The 12383-nt window shown below is 42.5% G+C and overlaps 1 long non-coding RNA gene, 4 other non-coding genes and 1 pseudogene across 5 annotated transcripts, besides 4 other annotated features; 4 read left to right on the top strand and 2 right to left on the bottom strand.

Annotated features, from left to right (window-relative positions):
• On the top strand, positions 4210–4557 carry RPS26P9 (ribosomal protein S26 pseudogene 9; annotated as a pseudogene).
• TRT-TGT3-1 (tRNA-Thr (anticodon TGT) 3-1) lies at positions 7339–7411 on the top strand. The gene has a single exon. It is a non-coding gene; the product is annotated as a tRNA-Thr (tRNA).
• Positions 7663–7852: a silencer, noted in NCBI's record as "silent region_5569". NCBI's record gives its function as "represses an Ori minimal core promoter by ATAC-STARR-seq in GM12878 lymphoblastoid cells {active_cell/tissue: GM12878}" and the evidence as "EXISTENCE:reporter gene assay evidence [ECO:0000049][PMID:35858748]".
• TRP-AGG2-6 (tRNA-Pro (anticodon AGG) 2-6) lies at positions 7729–7800 on the top strand. The gene has a single exon. It is a non-coding gene; the product is annotated as a tRNA-Pro (tRNA).
• Positions 8583–8642: an enhancer, noted in NCBI's record as "active region_8081". NCBI's record gives its function as "activates an Ori minimal core promoter by ATAC-STARR-seq in GM12878 lymphoblastoid cells {active_cell/tissue: GM12878}" and the evidence as "EXISTENCE:reporter gene assay evidence [ECO:0000049][PMID:35858748]".
• LOC124903280 (uncharacterized) lies at positions 10574–11387 on the bottom strand. The gene is made up of 2 exons (XR_007064058.1): positions 11161–11387; positions 10574–10896 (listed from the first exon to the last, which is right to left on the bottom strand). It is a non-coding gene; the product is annotated as an uncharacterized LOC124903280 (long non-coding RNA).
• Positions 10871–11100: a silencer, noted in NCBI's record as "silent region_5568". NCBI's record gives its function as "represses an Ori minimal core promoter by ATAC-STARR-seq in GM12878 lymphoblastoid cells {active_cell/tissue: GM12878}" and the evidence as "EXISTENCE:reporter gene assay evidence [ECO:0000049][PMID:35858748]".
• On the bottom strand, positions 10988–11069 carry TRL-AAG2-3 (tRNA-Leu (anticodon AAG) 2-3). The gene has a single exon. It is a non-coding gene; the product is annotated as a tRNA-Leu (tRNA).
• Positions 11691–11860: a silencer, noted in NCBI's record as "silent region_5567". NCBI's record gives its function as "represses an Ori minimal core promoter by ATAC-STARR-seq in GM12878 lymphoblastoid cells {active_cell/tissue: GM12878}" and the evidence as "EXISTENCE:reporter gene assay evidence [ECO:0000049][PMID:35858748]".
• On the top strand, positions 11794–11865 carry TRP-AGG2-5 (tRNA-Pro (anticodon AGG) 2-5). Its single transcript has one exon. It is a non-coding gene; the product is annotated as a tRNA-Pro (tRNA).

The following is a 12383-nucleotide window of genomic DNA, read 5'->3' as shown; positions in this document are numbered from 1 at the left end:
TCCTGTTCCTGGCTGAAGTTCCTTTGCTAACAAGTGGGCATAGCTTCTCCTATTCAATTTCCTATTCAGTGTTGCTGGAGTACCTATTTCCCACCTTGTGCTCACAGGATCCTTCAGTAGGGAGGGAGGAAACTTGGCCTGTTCCTTTCAAGAAGTGGATCACATGTTGGATTGCACAGCTCAAACAGTAAGTGCCCTGAGACCCATAAGCCAGGTGTCTTGGCTTTCCTAGTAGAATGCCAAATTTGCTGCATACTTGATTGCCCAATATCTAAAGCAAATAGATAACCACCCTTTTGGAAAGATGCCTGATACAAATACATGCAATGTGTTCGTCTGGCTGGCACATGTCTATTCCTTCAGTCTTCAGCACAGAATGCTGATATTCTAGGCTCTAGCATTCTGTAATATTGTCGGAGAGTTTAACCTTGAATTTCTTGCTATCCATACCTTGTTAATAGTTCAGATGATGAAAATTTATAGATAAGCAAGAGATTTACTTTAAGGCCTTAATATGCAAAGTGTGATTGGGGACCAGCAGCATCAGCATCTTTTGGTAGCAGATTAGAAATGCAGAATCTCAGGCCTACTGAATCAGAATCTTAACAAACTCCCCAAAAGTTAGAGTATGCATTAAATTTTGAGAAATACTCTATGTACCAACTTCTGTATCAGATGTTCTATGTTCATTTAGAGCATCTGAAAATTCCCACCAGAATCTTTCTGGATCAGTCTGCAGCAGAAGACACGCACTACATTGCAATGTAAAGCTCTGTTCCTAGCTCCAATAGAGAGCCATGCCCCAGTCTGGGCATGGTGGCTCATGCCTGTAATCCCAGCACTTTGGGAGGCCTAGGCGGGCGGATCACGAGGTCAGGAGTTCAAGACCAGCCTAACCAACATGGTGAAACCCCGTCTCTACTAAACATACAAAAATTAGCCGGGCGTGGTGTTGTGCGCCTGTAATCTCAGCTACTTGGGAGGCTGAGGCAGGAGCATTGCTTGAACCTGGGAGGCGGAGGTTGTGGTGAGCTGAGATCGTGCCATTGCACTCCAGCTTGGACAATAAGAGTGAAACTCTGTCTCAAAAAAAAAAAAAAAAAAAAAAGCCATCCCCCTATTGGCCTGAGGACCCCTCTATGTGCTGTAAAATCTTGCTCAAAATTAAATACTATATTTAAATTAAATAATATTTTTGATGACTCCATCAGATAGTCAATGCTTTCAGCATTTATTGAACCCGACTTACTTAGCTCTGATATGGTTTCATATGGTTATCACATTGACCATCACAGTAAAGCAAAGTACTGTGATTGTACTTAGAAGTTTTCTATGCAGTGGCTCACGCCTGTAATCCCAGCGCTTTGGGAGGCTGAGGAGGGCGAATCATGAGGTCAGGAGTTCGAGACCAGCCTGACCAACATGGTGAAACCTGTCTCTACTAAAAATACAAAAAAATTTAGCCAGGCGTGGTGGCACACACCTGTAATCCCAGCTACTTGGGAGGCTGAGGCAGGAGAATCGCTTGAACCCGCGAGGCAGAGGTTGCAGTGAGCTGAGATCACACCACCGCACTCCAGCCTGGGCGACAGAGCAAGACTGTCTCAAAAAAAAAAAAAAGTTTTCAAAAGTAAATGCTCAAAGTAAAAAGAGGGAAGGGAAATTTCCTTATACTCAGCAGGGAGATTTAAGCCCCTTATTTCTAGTTTGTATTTGTCTTTACACTTTTCACTGAACTTCATTGGAGAGATGGGACCAGAGGGATTTCATGGAGTAATCCAGTGAAATCAATCACCTCTGCAAGCTTCAGGTGAAAAGAAATGCAATCTTTGAACTATGGTATGATCAACAGGAATGGAAAGGGGAAGGATATGAGGCATTTTTTATTCTTTGTTTCTGTCCATCCTTCTGGTATCATTGTCCTCCTTCACCTACTCAGTCCCCATAAATATTGTAATAGTCTTGGTGCTTTGGGTTTAAAAAGATCGTGTCTGATGTACAATTTAATTTCTTCTTTGATTTCCCTCTACTGCTTTTCCTAGTCCCTGACTTTAATTCCATAGTGTACCAAGTGCTCAAAACACAGTCAGCTTCTCAGTGAACACACAGGAGTGTTTATAATGGGTTTAAACATTTGAGGCAAGCCAGTGGGGTGCATGTGCCAGGAAGCCTTTTGGGTCTCGGAAATAGAATCTTGCCCACTTCACATCCACCAAATAAATCTGTGCTTATCATTTGATCAGGTTTGGGGAGGAGCAGAAGACAAACAAGAATATTATCCTTGCTCATTGGGAACTTGAATTTGAATAAAAGAAAATATCTTCTCCACCTTTTACAATATATACAATACAAACCTAGAAGAATGAACAAACACACAGAGACACACACTACAGTTAGATGGCAATACAAGTGGTAACTGATAATCACCAGAGTGAGTGTAGCCTCAGTTTCCAGAAGGTAAGATGTCTGTGGAAATCTGAAGAAAACTTTGAGAAAGTACAAATCGAGGCAAGTACGTGTGTGTGTGTGTGTGTGTGTGTGTGTGTGGCTAAAGCTTTGCAAACTCACGTTCCTTGATGTCTGAGATAAACAGTCTATGTATCTTGGAAACCAGTATGCCTGTCATAGGTGTTCGTGGATGTTGTTACAGTGAATAATTGGTTGAGTCCTGGTAATTGTGCCTACTTTTCTGGGATATAAATTCCTGACCTTTAAAAATATTCTATAGCCAATGAAGCTGAAAATTACAAAGTCTTCCCCAAAGGATGACATAATAGTTTCCTTTTCTGAACAGAAGCTCCTTGAAATAGTGCACTGTCATGTAAATAAGTATCAGTCATTAGACTTCATTCTTCCTGCTTGGTTTACTAGAAATTCAGTCCTACCTAGACCCTAGACAATCTATCCTGGAAAATTAGTAGTAGGGTCCTTGACAAAAATATTTAAGCTGAATCTAATCATGAGGAAATAAGTAAATATTGAACTGAATCTTATATGAGGAAATAATCACATTCAGAATGTGAGACTTCCTGTAAGACAACTGCCATGAGAAAAGAAAGTCTAAGAGGAGGGGAATTTTCTAGATTAAAAGAGACCAAAGAGATGTTACAACTAAATGCAGTGAGATATATTGTTAGAATTTACATTATTTTAATAGGGAGTGGGTAAGTGGGGAAATCTGAATATGGACTGTATGTCTACTAGCATATAAGGAATTATAAATTTTCTTGGGTGTGTTATGGTACTAATATTCTGCTCTTGGATAGTACATGTAAACAGGGGGAAGGGTAGGTAAGAAGGATGCAAATGTTCCTAATAATGGGTGTTCTAGTTAAAGGGTATACAGGTTTTACCGTACCGTTTTTTTAACTTTTCCCTAGGGTATTACTATACAAACAGACAGTGGCCAGAACATATATAAAAATAGACCTCTGACCAGCACTAACCTACAACAGCCAGTGCAGGAAGTCAACCCACAGTGACCAGCACAGGAAGCCAGCCCATTATCTCTCTCTCTCTTTTATTTATTTATTTTTTTGAGACGGATTTTCACTCTTGTTGCCCAGGCTGGAGTGCAATGGCACTATCTTGGCTCACCGCCTATCACTGGCTATCTCTGCCTCCTGGGTTCAAGCAATCCTCTTGCCTCAGCCTCCTGAGTAGCTGGGATTACAGGTATGCACCACCACGCCAGGCTAATTTTGTATTTTTAGTAGAGACAGGGTTTCACCATTTTGGTCACGCTGGTCTCGAACTCCTGACCCTCAGGTGATCCGCCTGCCTCAGCCTCCCAGAGTGCTGGGATTACAGGCGTGAACCACAGCGCCCGGCCAGTCCATTGCCTTTAAGCCAGACTTTTAGGAAGTCAGACCACTATCTCTAAGCAACCAGCCCAGGAAGCCAAACAATAACCTCTGTAAAAACCAGACCCAGTGGCTAGGAATTTATGAATAATTAACACCTTTCCTATTATTTGTTTCTGTTTCCAAGTTAGCATCAACCAGAGAAAGCCAAATATGCATCCCTAACCAATCACATAGGATGCCCCGCTTCTAGTTAGCCTGCCCACCGTGTCCCCATGCCACAGTCTCCAGTCAGGGCACACTTGAAGGCTTCCCTTTGTCCACTATAAAGTTTTCCCACTCCTCTGCTTGCCTTTGAGTCTCTGCCAAATCACAAGTGACGTTCTTTTGGGTCCCCACTTCCAAGATGGCAAAGAAAAGAAATAACAATGGTCATGCCAAAAAGGGCCACAGCCACGTGCAGCCTATTTGCTACATGAATTATGCCCTATGCCTACCCAAAGGCAAGACTATTAAGAAGTTCATCATTCAAAACGTAGTAGAGACTGCACCTGTCAGGGACATTTCTGAAGCTAGTATCTTTGACGCCTATGGGCTTCCCAAGTTGTTCGTGAAATTCTGTTACGGTGGGAGTTGTGTCATTCACAGCAAGGTAGACAGGAATTAATCTTGTGAAGCTTGCAAGGACCGAACACCGCCACCCTGATTCAGACCTATGGGTGCTGCCACATGACCCCTACCAAAGCCCATATAAGAAGGTGAGTCCTTAAGGATTGAAGAAAAACTCTCTCTAGAGAAAAATAATATGGAAATTATATTTTTAAAAAATCACAAGTGAAGGCTGCTAACTCCTTTGCTATAGAAAGCTCTGAATAGCTTTTGCTGGTTCTCATTAACTGGTGTTCATTTATTTCCACATTAGGATTAAAGTTTTTCCAAATGAAAAGTTGAGGGGAAATGGAAGAAATACAGACAAACAACAAAAAAAGCAATTAAAAATATTGCTAAGATTACAACTAGGGGTCAAGTTGCTCAGCAGAGGAAGTGCTCAGGATGGGCCAGAACACACTGGAGCACAACCAGGTTTGCTGATGCTAAGTCTAATAAACTAGTAGAAGGGGCTTTTGGAGTTTCGTAGCGTCAGACACGCCAACTCGAGTGAATTGTGGAGTAAGGGCCTGGAAGAATGAGAATGTAACATAAGGTCCTGGGACAACCTTTGATGGTAGGAAGTGGGCTGAATGTGGATAGGGTCAATTGGTCAAAGGTTTATTTGTACTGATAGAGGAGTGAGAACCCTCTCCGCAAAGCCAGCCTCTGTCTAGCAGAAACCAGAAACATCAGATCCATGGTTGTTGCCCTGGCTTCTCTCCTTGGAATACTTCTTTGAATATTTTAAATTATTATTATTATTATTATTTTTAGACTGAGTCTGGCTCTGTCGCCCAGGCTGGAGTGCAGTGGCGCCATCTCGGCTCACTGCAACCTCCGCCTCCCGGGTTCAAGCAATTCTCCCGCCCCAACCTCCCGAGTAGCTGGGACTACAGACCCGTGCCACCATGCGCTAATTTTTTGTATTTTTAGTACAGATGGGTTTTCACCGTGTTAGCCAGGATGGTCTCAATCTCCTGACCTCGTGATCCGCCCGCCTCAGCCTCCCAAATTTAAATTATTCTTAAATGAATAACAGTCTGTGGTTAGAAGAGAAGAAATCAATTCATGTAGGGAATAGAAGTGAGCTTGCCAAATTGTGACAGGGTGAGAATGAGGGGACAGGTTCTAAGAGAAGGTGAGGGGCCATCATGAATACCATCAGAGAAAGACAAGCAAAGAGAGGAGGAGAAACAGCAAAGAGGAAGAAGGCCGTTTGAGAGACAGTTTCCACTGCTTAGTAATTTTGCCTATGGCCAGTCTCTCTGAAAATAATAATAATGAAGATAATACTAACAATGATGATAATAATAAACACCTATTTTGAAAACAGGGACGTTGAGACCTGGCAAAGTTAAATAACCGATTTAGGTTTTTTCTAACCACTGCACTACATACTCTATGTCTATACATGCCAACAGTCACACATCAACTATGACCAAAAGTTTATTTTAATTTGACTTTTCTGCTCTAGAAAAAAGGTAGGCGTACTTGTGTTCCCCTGACGTAAAAAAAAAAAAAAGGTAGGCAACCTGCCATTTCCTTAAGCTATGAGGTGTGTCTTTAGGCCCAAAGAGAGCATGTTAGAGGTTTTCTCCAGTGAAGTGTCTTGTGTAGGCAAATAGAGTATAGAGACTCAATTTTTAATTCAATCAGTTAAAACAAAGCCTTGTAGTTCTCTTGGGAGCAGAAGACTGAGGGTTAAACACCCAGGAGCAGTAGAAGGAACAGCCCTTGTCAGGCTACAAAATATATGTATTCATCTCACCTTAGGACAACATTGTGAGGCCTCTTCCTGACTCATCCCTAATCCAAGAAAATCTGCCACAAATGCCTTACTTTGCCTATCTAAATAGAGCACTTTTCTTCCTTGAAAATGTGTAAGGTCAACAGCATCATGTTTTACGTTTAAATAATGAAAAATAAAGGAGACAATGAATCATAATAACCTTACAGATTTCTTACAAATTTTGTGATCTTGGACATGAAAGCACTAAAAAATAGTGAGTATAAGAGCAGAGCTGTGGTCAGAGGGTCTAAATCTTACTAAGCAGAGTCGCGTCACTTCTTGGTGTTTCATGAATCAGTGCTTATTTTCCAATGTTCTCACCTACGGCTTATTTGCCGTAAGAAATGGGTACGAGATCTTTCTTAGTTAAATAATTGTTTAGTTTCTGTTCACCAGCTTATATAAACAAGGTTTCTAAAAATTAAAAACAATCTTTTCTAAAAAGTCGTATTATTTTCATACCAACTATGTGTAAATCTGTGTATGTCTTCAGGGAAGGATTAAACTCTTCTTCCTCAACACCCCTTTTCCCTGTTTGCTTCTACCTCTGGACCTTGGAAGAGTGAGGGATTAACTCCAGAAAGAGTTAACTTTCTTTCCTCTGACCACAGAAAACTCCTCCAAGTTTAGAGGTTTAGGGATCTGGATTGAGAAAGGAAAAAGCCGTGGAAAATCTCTTCTCACCTCCGTCCCTGGATTTTACCACCATATTAAGCGGAAGGCGAGCACTACAATTTCCTTGTCCATCAGACGCCCTCCATAGACGCCTCATATTTCGGGAGGTGTGTGTGGGGGGGGTCGCCCTTGTACCCAAAGATCTGAAATTCTTACATCAACACCGTTTCCATGCACCACAGAGGCACAGTAGGCAAAGTCTCAAGAGAGTATCACGGTGAGGAACGGGAAGACAGCCTGATAGTTGCTCTGCTCAAAGCAGAACCTTTTCGAGGGATTTACAGAGCACGAAAATGTTTTCATTTTGTAGGAGAATATCCTGGAATTTTACTCAAGCTAACATCCTATTCAGTAGCCGGAATGCTAGGAGCATAACATCAATCTATAAGATGAAAGGAAGAGAAACTAAAAGCAGACGAGGGCTCCATAGCTCAGGGGTTAGAGCGCTGGTCTTGTAAACCAGGGGTCGCGAGTTCAATTCTCGCTGGGGCCTGTGTGTTTTTTCCTCCTACCCACAGGGATTTCCACATCAGGAGGTAAGCGGGGTCGGACAACGCGGCAGCAACGTGACTGCCGCTTGGCACATCTGCATGTCTTCGGCGCCTCTTCGGCTGTCATTTAGGCTACGGGGGTTCACGCCTGCTGCAGAAGCTGCCAGTCTCAATGACTCTTGGGGCGTGTGGTTTACCTCTACTATTCAAATAAGTACGCATTCTTGCCGATAGAAGGCACCCAAGAACCTAGTTTATCAGAAAAATGCCTAATGATTTGAATGAGCCTTAGTGCAAAACTTAAGAGTATCTGTATCGCGGCTCGTTGGTCTAGGGGTATGATTCTCGCTTAGGGTGCGAGAGGTCCCGGGTTCAAATCCCGGACGAGCCCTCGCTCTTTTCAACTCAACAAGGTGTGTCTTGTTTGAAAACTTCACGACTGCACTTTGCTGTCCCTGTATACCGTTCTTTGAAAAATTGCAGCTATTAACTCCCCAGGGATGTGAAGAAGCAAAGCACAGAAAACCCCAGGTTATCCTTCTTATTCTCTCTGACAAACTGTAACACATCTTCCTCTCCCTGCCTATCTCTAGCAATCCTGTCAAGTCAAATAAAACAGTCTATGCAAAGTTGCTCGGAAATTTTAGCCCTTGGTAAACACAAGGAGCTGCTTTCTTTCCTGGGAATGAATTGGGAGCTGACACATACTAACATTGTCACCATGTGTAACTGTATGATGTGTTATCTTTTAAAAAGGGGTTTACATGTTATTACATAATATTGCCTTTTCTTCTCCTTTTCCTTTCTTTCCTTTTTCCCCACCCTTTCTGGTGTTTGTTTGTTTTGTACTGTGAGGTAGGCAATGAATTCTGTTAACTCCAGTGGAGCAATAGAGTGATGAGAGAAAGTGTATCTCCAAAGGCAAATTTTGAAATGTTAACTTTAAAAATAATGTTTTGTGGATCCTTAGCAACTTTCTTTAGTGTGTGAATAACTATTACAGAATAAAACGATTCCATTAGAAGTGAACTATATCCCTTCCTGGCAACAGATGGACTAACTTACCCACATCGACACTCATCATCTCTGTCTTCTGTCTTGTTTCAAGGCCCATCTTTCACTTCTCATATTTGAGGGCAGCTCCTTCAGTTTCACATCAGATGAATTTCGCATTTCCTCTCCTTCGGGTAAGGACTTGGTTTCTGAAATCAACATTACCTCCGCTCCTCCACCCCCAAGCCCCTAACAACACACACAGCAGCTATTTCCCCCAGTGTGCCAATCATTTCCATTAGCATACAAACACTAAACAGCTGCAGTATCACCAATCCTTTAAAAAAATTCCTTCTTAGCCACTCTTCCCAATTCTCTTTATTCTGCATAGATAGAAAAAACTTCTTAAAAGTTATGCACTGTGTATCTCAACTTCCTCCCCTCATGCTCTGTCCTCAACCAAGTATGATCAGGCCTTTTTTCTCCACCACGCTACTTGAAATGGCTTTTGTCAAGGTTGCCAATGACTTTGATGCTTCCAGATCTAAAGGTCACTTTTCAGTCTTCGTCCTACTTCATTTCTCATCTCAGGAGGCTACTTTTCAGTCTCTTTTAATGGCTCCTCCTTTCCTGACCTCTCAATATTTGAGTGTTATCTTGCTCTCCCCTTGCCAATTTTTTTTATCTCTCTATACTTATCAAGTCATGAGGCTTAACATAGCATCGTATACTGATGATTCCTATTCATAAGCCTTGATCTAGATTTGTAGATATAGTCACCTGCTTGCCCCAGCATGTGAACAAGTTATAGGCATCTCAGAATTTACTTGTCTCAAATGATACCCTTGATTTCCTGCCACTTCTCTTCCAATTGCTCTCCAACCACCACCCATATCTCAGGAAACAAATCCATCATGTATCCAGTTTCTCCAACATCACATCCAATCCACTGTTCTATCTTCGTCTATTTCCCAACACACTCATTATCACCCTGGTCTAAACTCTCCTTCATCTCTTACACATCCCAATGATAGCCTTCTAACTCATCTTCCTACTTTTTCTCTACTCCCTATTCTAGAGAACAGCCAGAGTTATCCTATTACAATGTAAGCCAAACAATGCTCTCCTCCACTTAAAAGCACCCAATAACTTCTCACATTTAGAACAGAATCTGTGATCGAGCCCTTGTGTGTTCTGATGGTGTCTGTCCCTCTGATCGCAACTGCTTACCCCCTCCTCCTCCTTCTCACTCACTGTCTTCTAGCTATACTGGCCCTCCCACTGTTCCTCAAATCCATGTGCCTTGTTTCTTGTTCCGGACTTTTCATGTACTGTTTCCTTTGTCTAGAACATCTCACTTTCTCAAATATTTGTATCCCCCTCTCTCTCTCACTCCTTCTGTGCTCAAATGTTACCTCTTTAGAGACAACTTCCTTGACCACTCTTTCCAAAATAGCCTCCAATTGCCATTATACCCTACACTAATTTATGGCTGTTCACAGCATTTATCACGACTTAATATTATTATATGCAGTTCTTTCCTTCTTTTTTTCTGTTTCCCCTACTAGGATATAAGCTCCAGGAAGGCAGATGTTTTGTCGTGCTCGATTTTGTACCCTCAGCACTTAGCAATGTGTACTATTTGTAGTTGGCAATTAATAATGAATAGATGAATGGATGGACGAATATTACCACACTTCTGGGCACACCTGCTGGTCTCCAAATGCCACAATTAAAGGGCAATTTATTTCCAGTTTCTGTAGAGTCAGATTGGAATCTTCCCAGGGATAATAGCCATGGCTATGGAATTATGTTGCAAATGGATACCTAAATTGATCTTTCTTGTCTCTGCAGAATATACGCTAAGCACCTTACACGTATTCACTAATTTTCATAATACAGGTATATATTATCTCCAATGTACAAATGAGGAAATAGAGGCACACAAAAGGTAAGCAGCTTGCCCAAGTCACACAATTAGTAATGTGAGAATTGCCACCCCTTGCATTCTAACAGCCCAGCCCACGGTCCCTTCACCATCCTTCCCACATCACTGCACTACCTTCCTTATGCCGCGTTTGTTTTCTACTCGATGATGTTTTACAATGTTTCAAGACCGTTTTTTTTGTAATTGTAGGATTTATTTTTGCAGTGTAGACCGTGAGTTTCTCTTGTGGGCAGGCATTGTTTTATTCCTCTTTTTGTACTCCTCAACAACTAGAACAGTGCAAATTACGCTCGTCTACTTAAAGGCAAAGAGCTCAAAGTACGCTCGTCCACTTAAAGGCAAAGCAAAGGCTACACATGAATTATATTAATGTCCTGGCGCTTTCCCTCCTTTGGGAAACCATGGATTCAAAAGCATCTTTATGATCTTGAGAGGATTTTACTGTCTTTATGAAGTACTTCACATTGTGAAAGACTCAGAAATACGAGACGTTCCAAAATAGCGGACAGCTACATTCTTTACCAACTGGAGATACGAAATTGGGTGCTAGAGAAAGGTGAAGAGACTGTGTTAACGTGGGAGCACCAGTACACTAATCGGAATACACGGATGGTTTCCCCAAGAAAAGGGAAGCACCTGGCAGCGGTGGGATTCGAACCCACGCCCCCGAAGAGACTGGAGCCTTAATCCAGCGCCTTAGACCGCTCGGCCACGCTACCTACTGGCTAACAGTTGGGAACCTATTCTCTACCCTTTCCTCTTTTACCCTCCCCGCCTGCCAACTTCATGATCCTGTATTTGTAGTTTTACCGGATTTTTTCTTTCTTTTCTTTCTGGTTTGTTTAGCTCTCCTTCATCTTTTAAGCCGCACTATTTGAAATTGGTGGAAAGAGTTATAATACATGTTGTGAAAGGCGTCGCGAGAGAGGGAGGGCAACCTTGTCAGGTCTAACGGTTTGGAGCGCCAGCCCCGTGCCAGGCAAGGCGGGTCACCGGGCAGCGTCGGGGCCCTCTTCTGCCTCGGGGTCTCTTCACGGAGGGCGCCCTGCGGCGACAGCTTTCGCCGGCCGCGCGCACGGCGGTCGGTACCTGTTAAGGACGAGATGCCTTCCGACCACCGGATAACTCGGGACGGTCCCTGATTTGCCTGCTCCCTGTCCAACAGCATCTTCGGCTCACTCGGAAGTGAAAACATGCAATTTCATGTTATAACATGCAATTTCATGTCATAAATTATTCCCACTGACGCCTGAACATTTTTCCTAAAAGGGATCTGCAGTCACAAGGCGCCGCCTTCCGGAATTTAGGTGAGAAAACCTGCAGTGGTTTACTTTATCCACTAGGTGTCACCCATGCCCATAGTTATAAAAGAAGACAGTGACCAACTGTAGACGTGGCTGAAAGTTTTATTAAAGTTTAGTAACCCAACCGAAATTCATAGGTGGCTCGTTGGTCTAGGGGTATGATTCTCGCTTAGGGTGCGAGAGGTCCCGGGTTCAAATCCCGGACGAGCCCTGTTCCTTTTTTCTTTCTCTCCCAGTTAGCTGGCCCCCATAAAGTCACAGATTTTTCTGTCAGTGGACATCCCAATAAAACCACAGGTTTATTCACGTTAAACACCATCACACAAAGTAAGCACCGTCTGAAGTTAGTATGTGAGTACTATGTAATGCTCCATTATTTCAAATATATGTATTTCATCTTTAGGCAAAAATGCTCTTTGTCATGGTATTACATTATGAGGATAAATACCAGGTGCTACCACATATCATGTACATTTCTTTTACATAATCATTATTTTAAATCAACCAGCTTTTTACTTTTGCAGTTCTTTGTTATTATCCAGGAATTGTTCATTCAGGACAGTCATATTTTAATAGTTTCACATAAACCTCACTTTGTAAGCGCAGGGGCCAGCAGATGTCGCGAAGTTCTTGTCACAAATAAAGCCTAGACTCCGTCATTCAAGCCTCAGCTCACTGAACCCTTCTGTGTGCGCATGGGGGTGGGGAACTCGTTGGTGTAGCCCCTTG

Source organism: Homo sapiens, chromosome 14, assembly GCF_000001405.40.
Source record: "Homo sapiens chromosome 14, GRCh38.p14 Primary Assembly".
NCBI classification, from domain to species: Eukaryota; Metazoa; Chordata; class Mammalia; order Primates; family Hominidae; genus Homo; species Homo sapiens.
The sequence above is the reverse complement of the archived record's forward strand: the minus strand, read 5'-3'. Positions and strand labels throughout refer to the sequence as shown.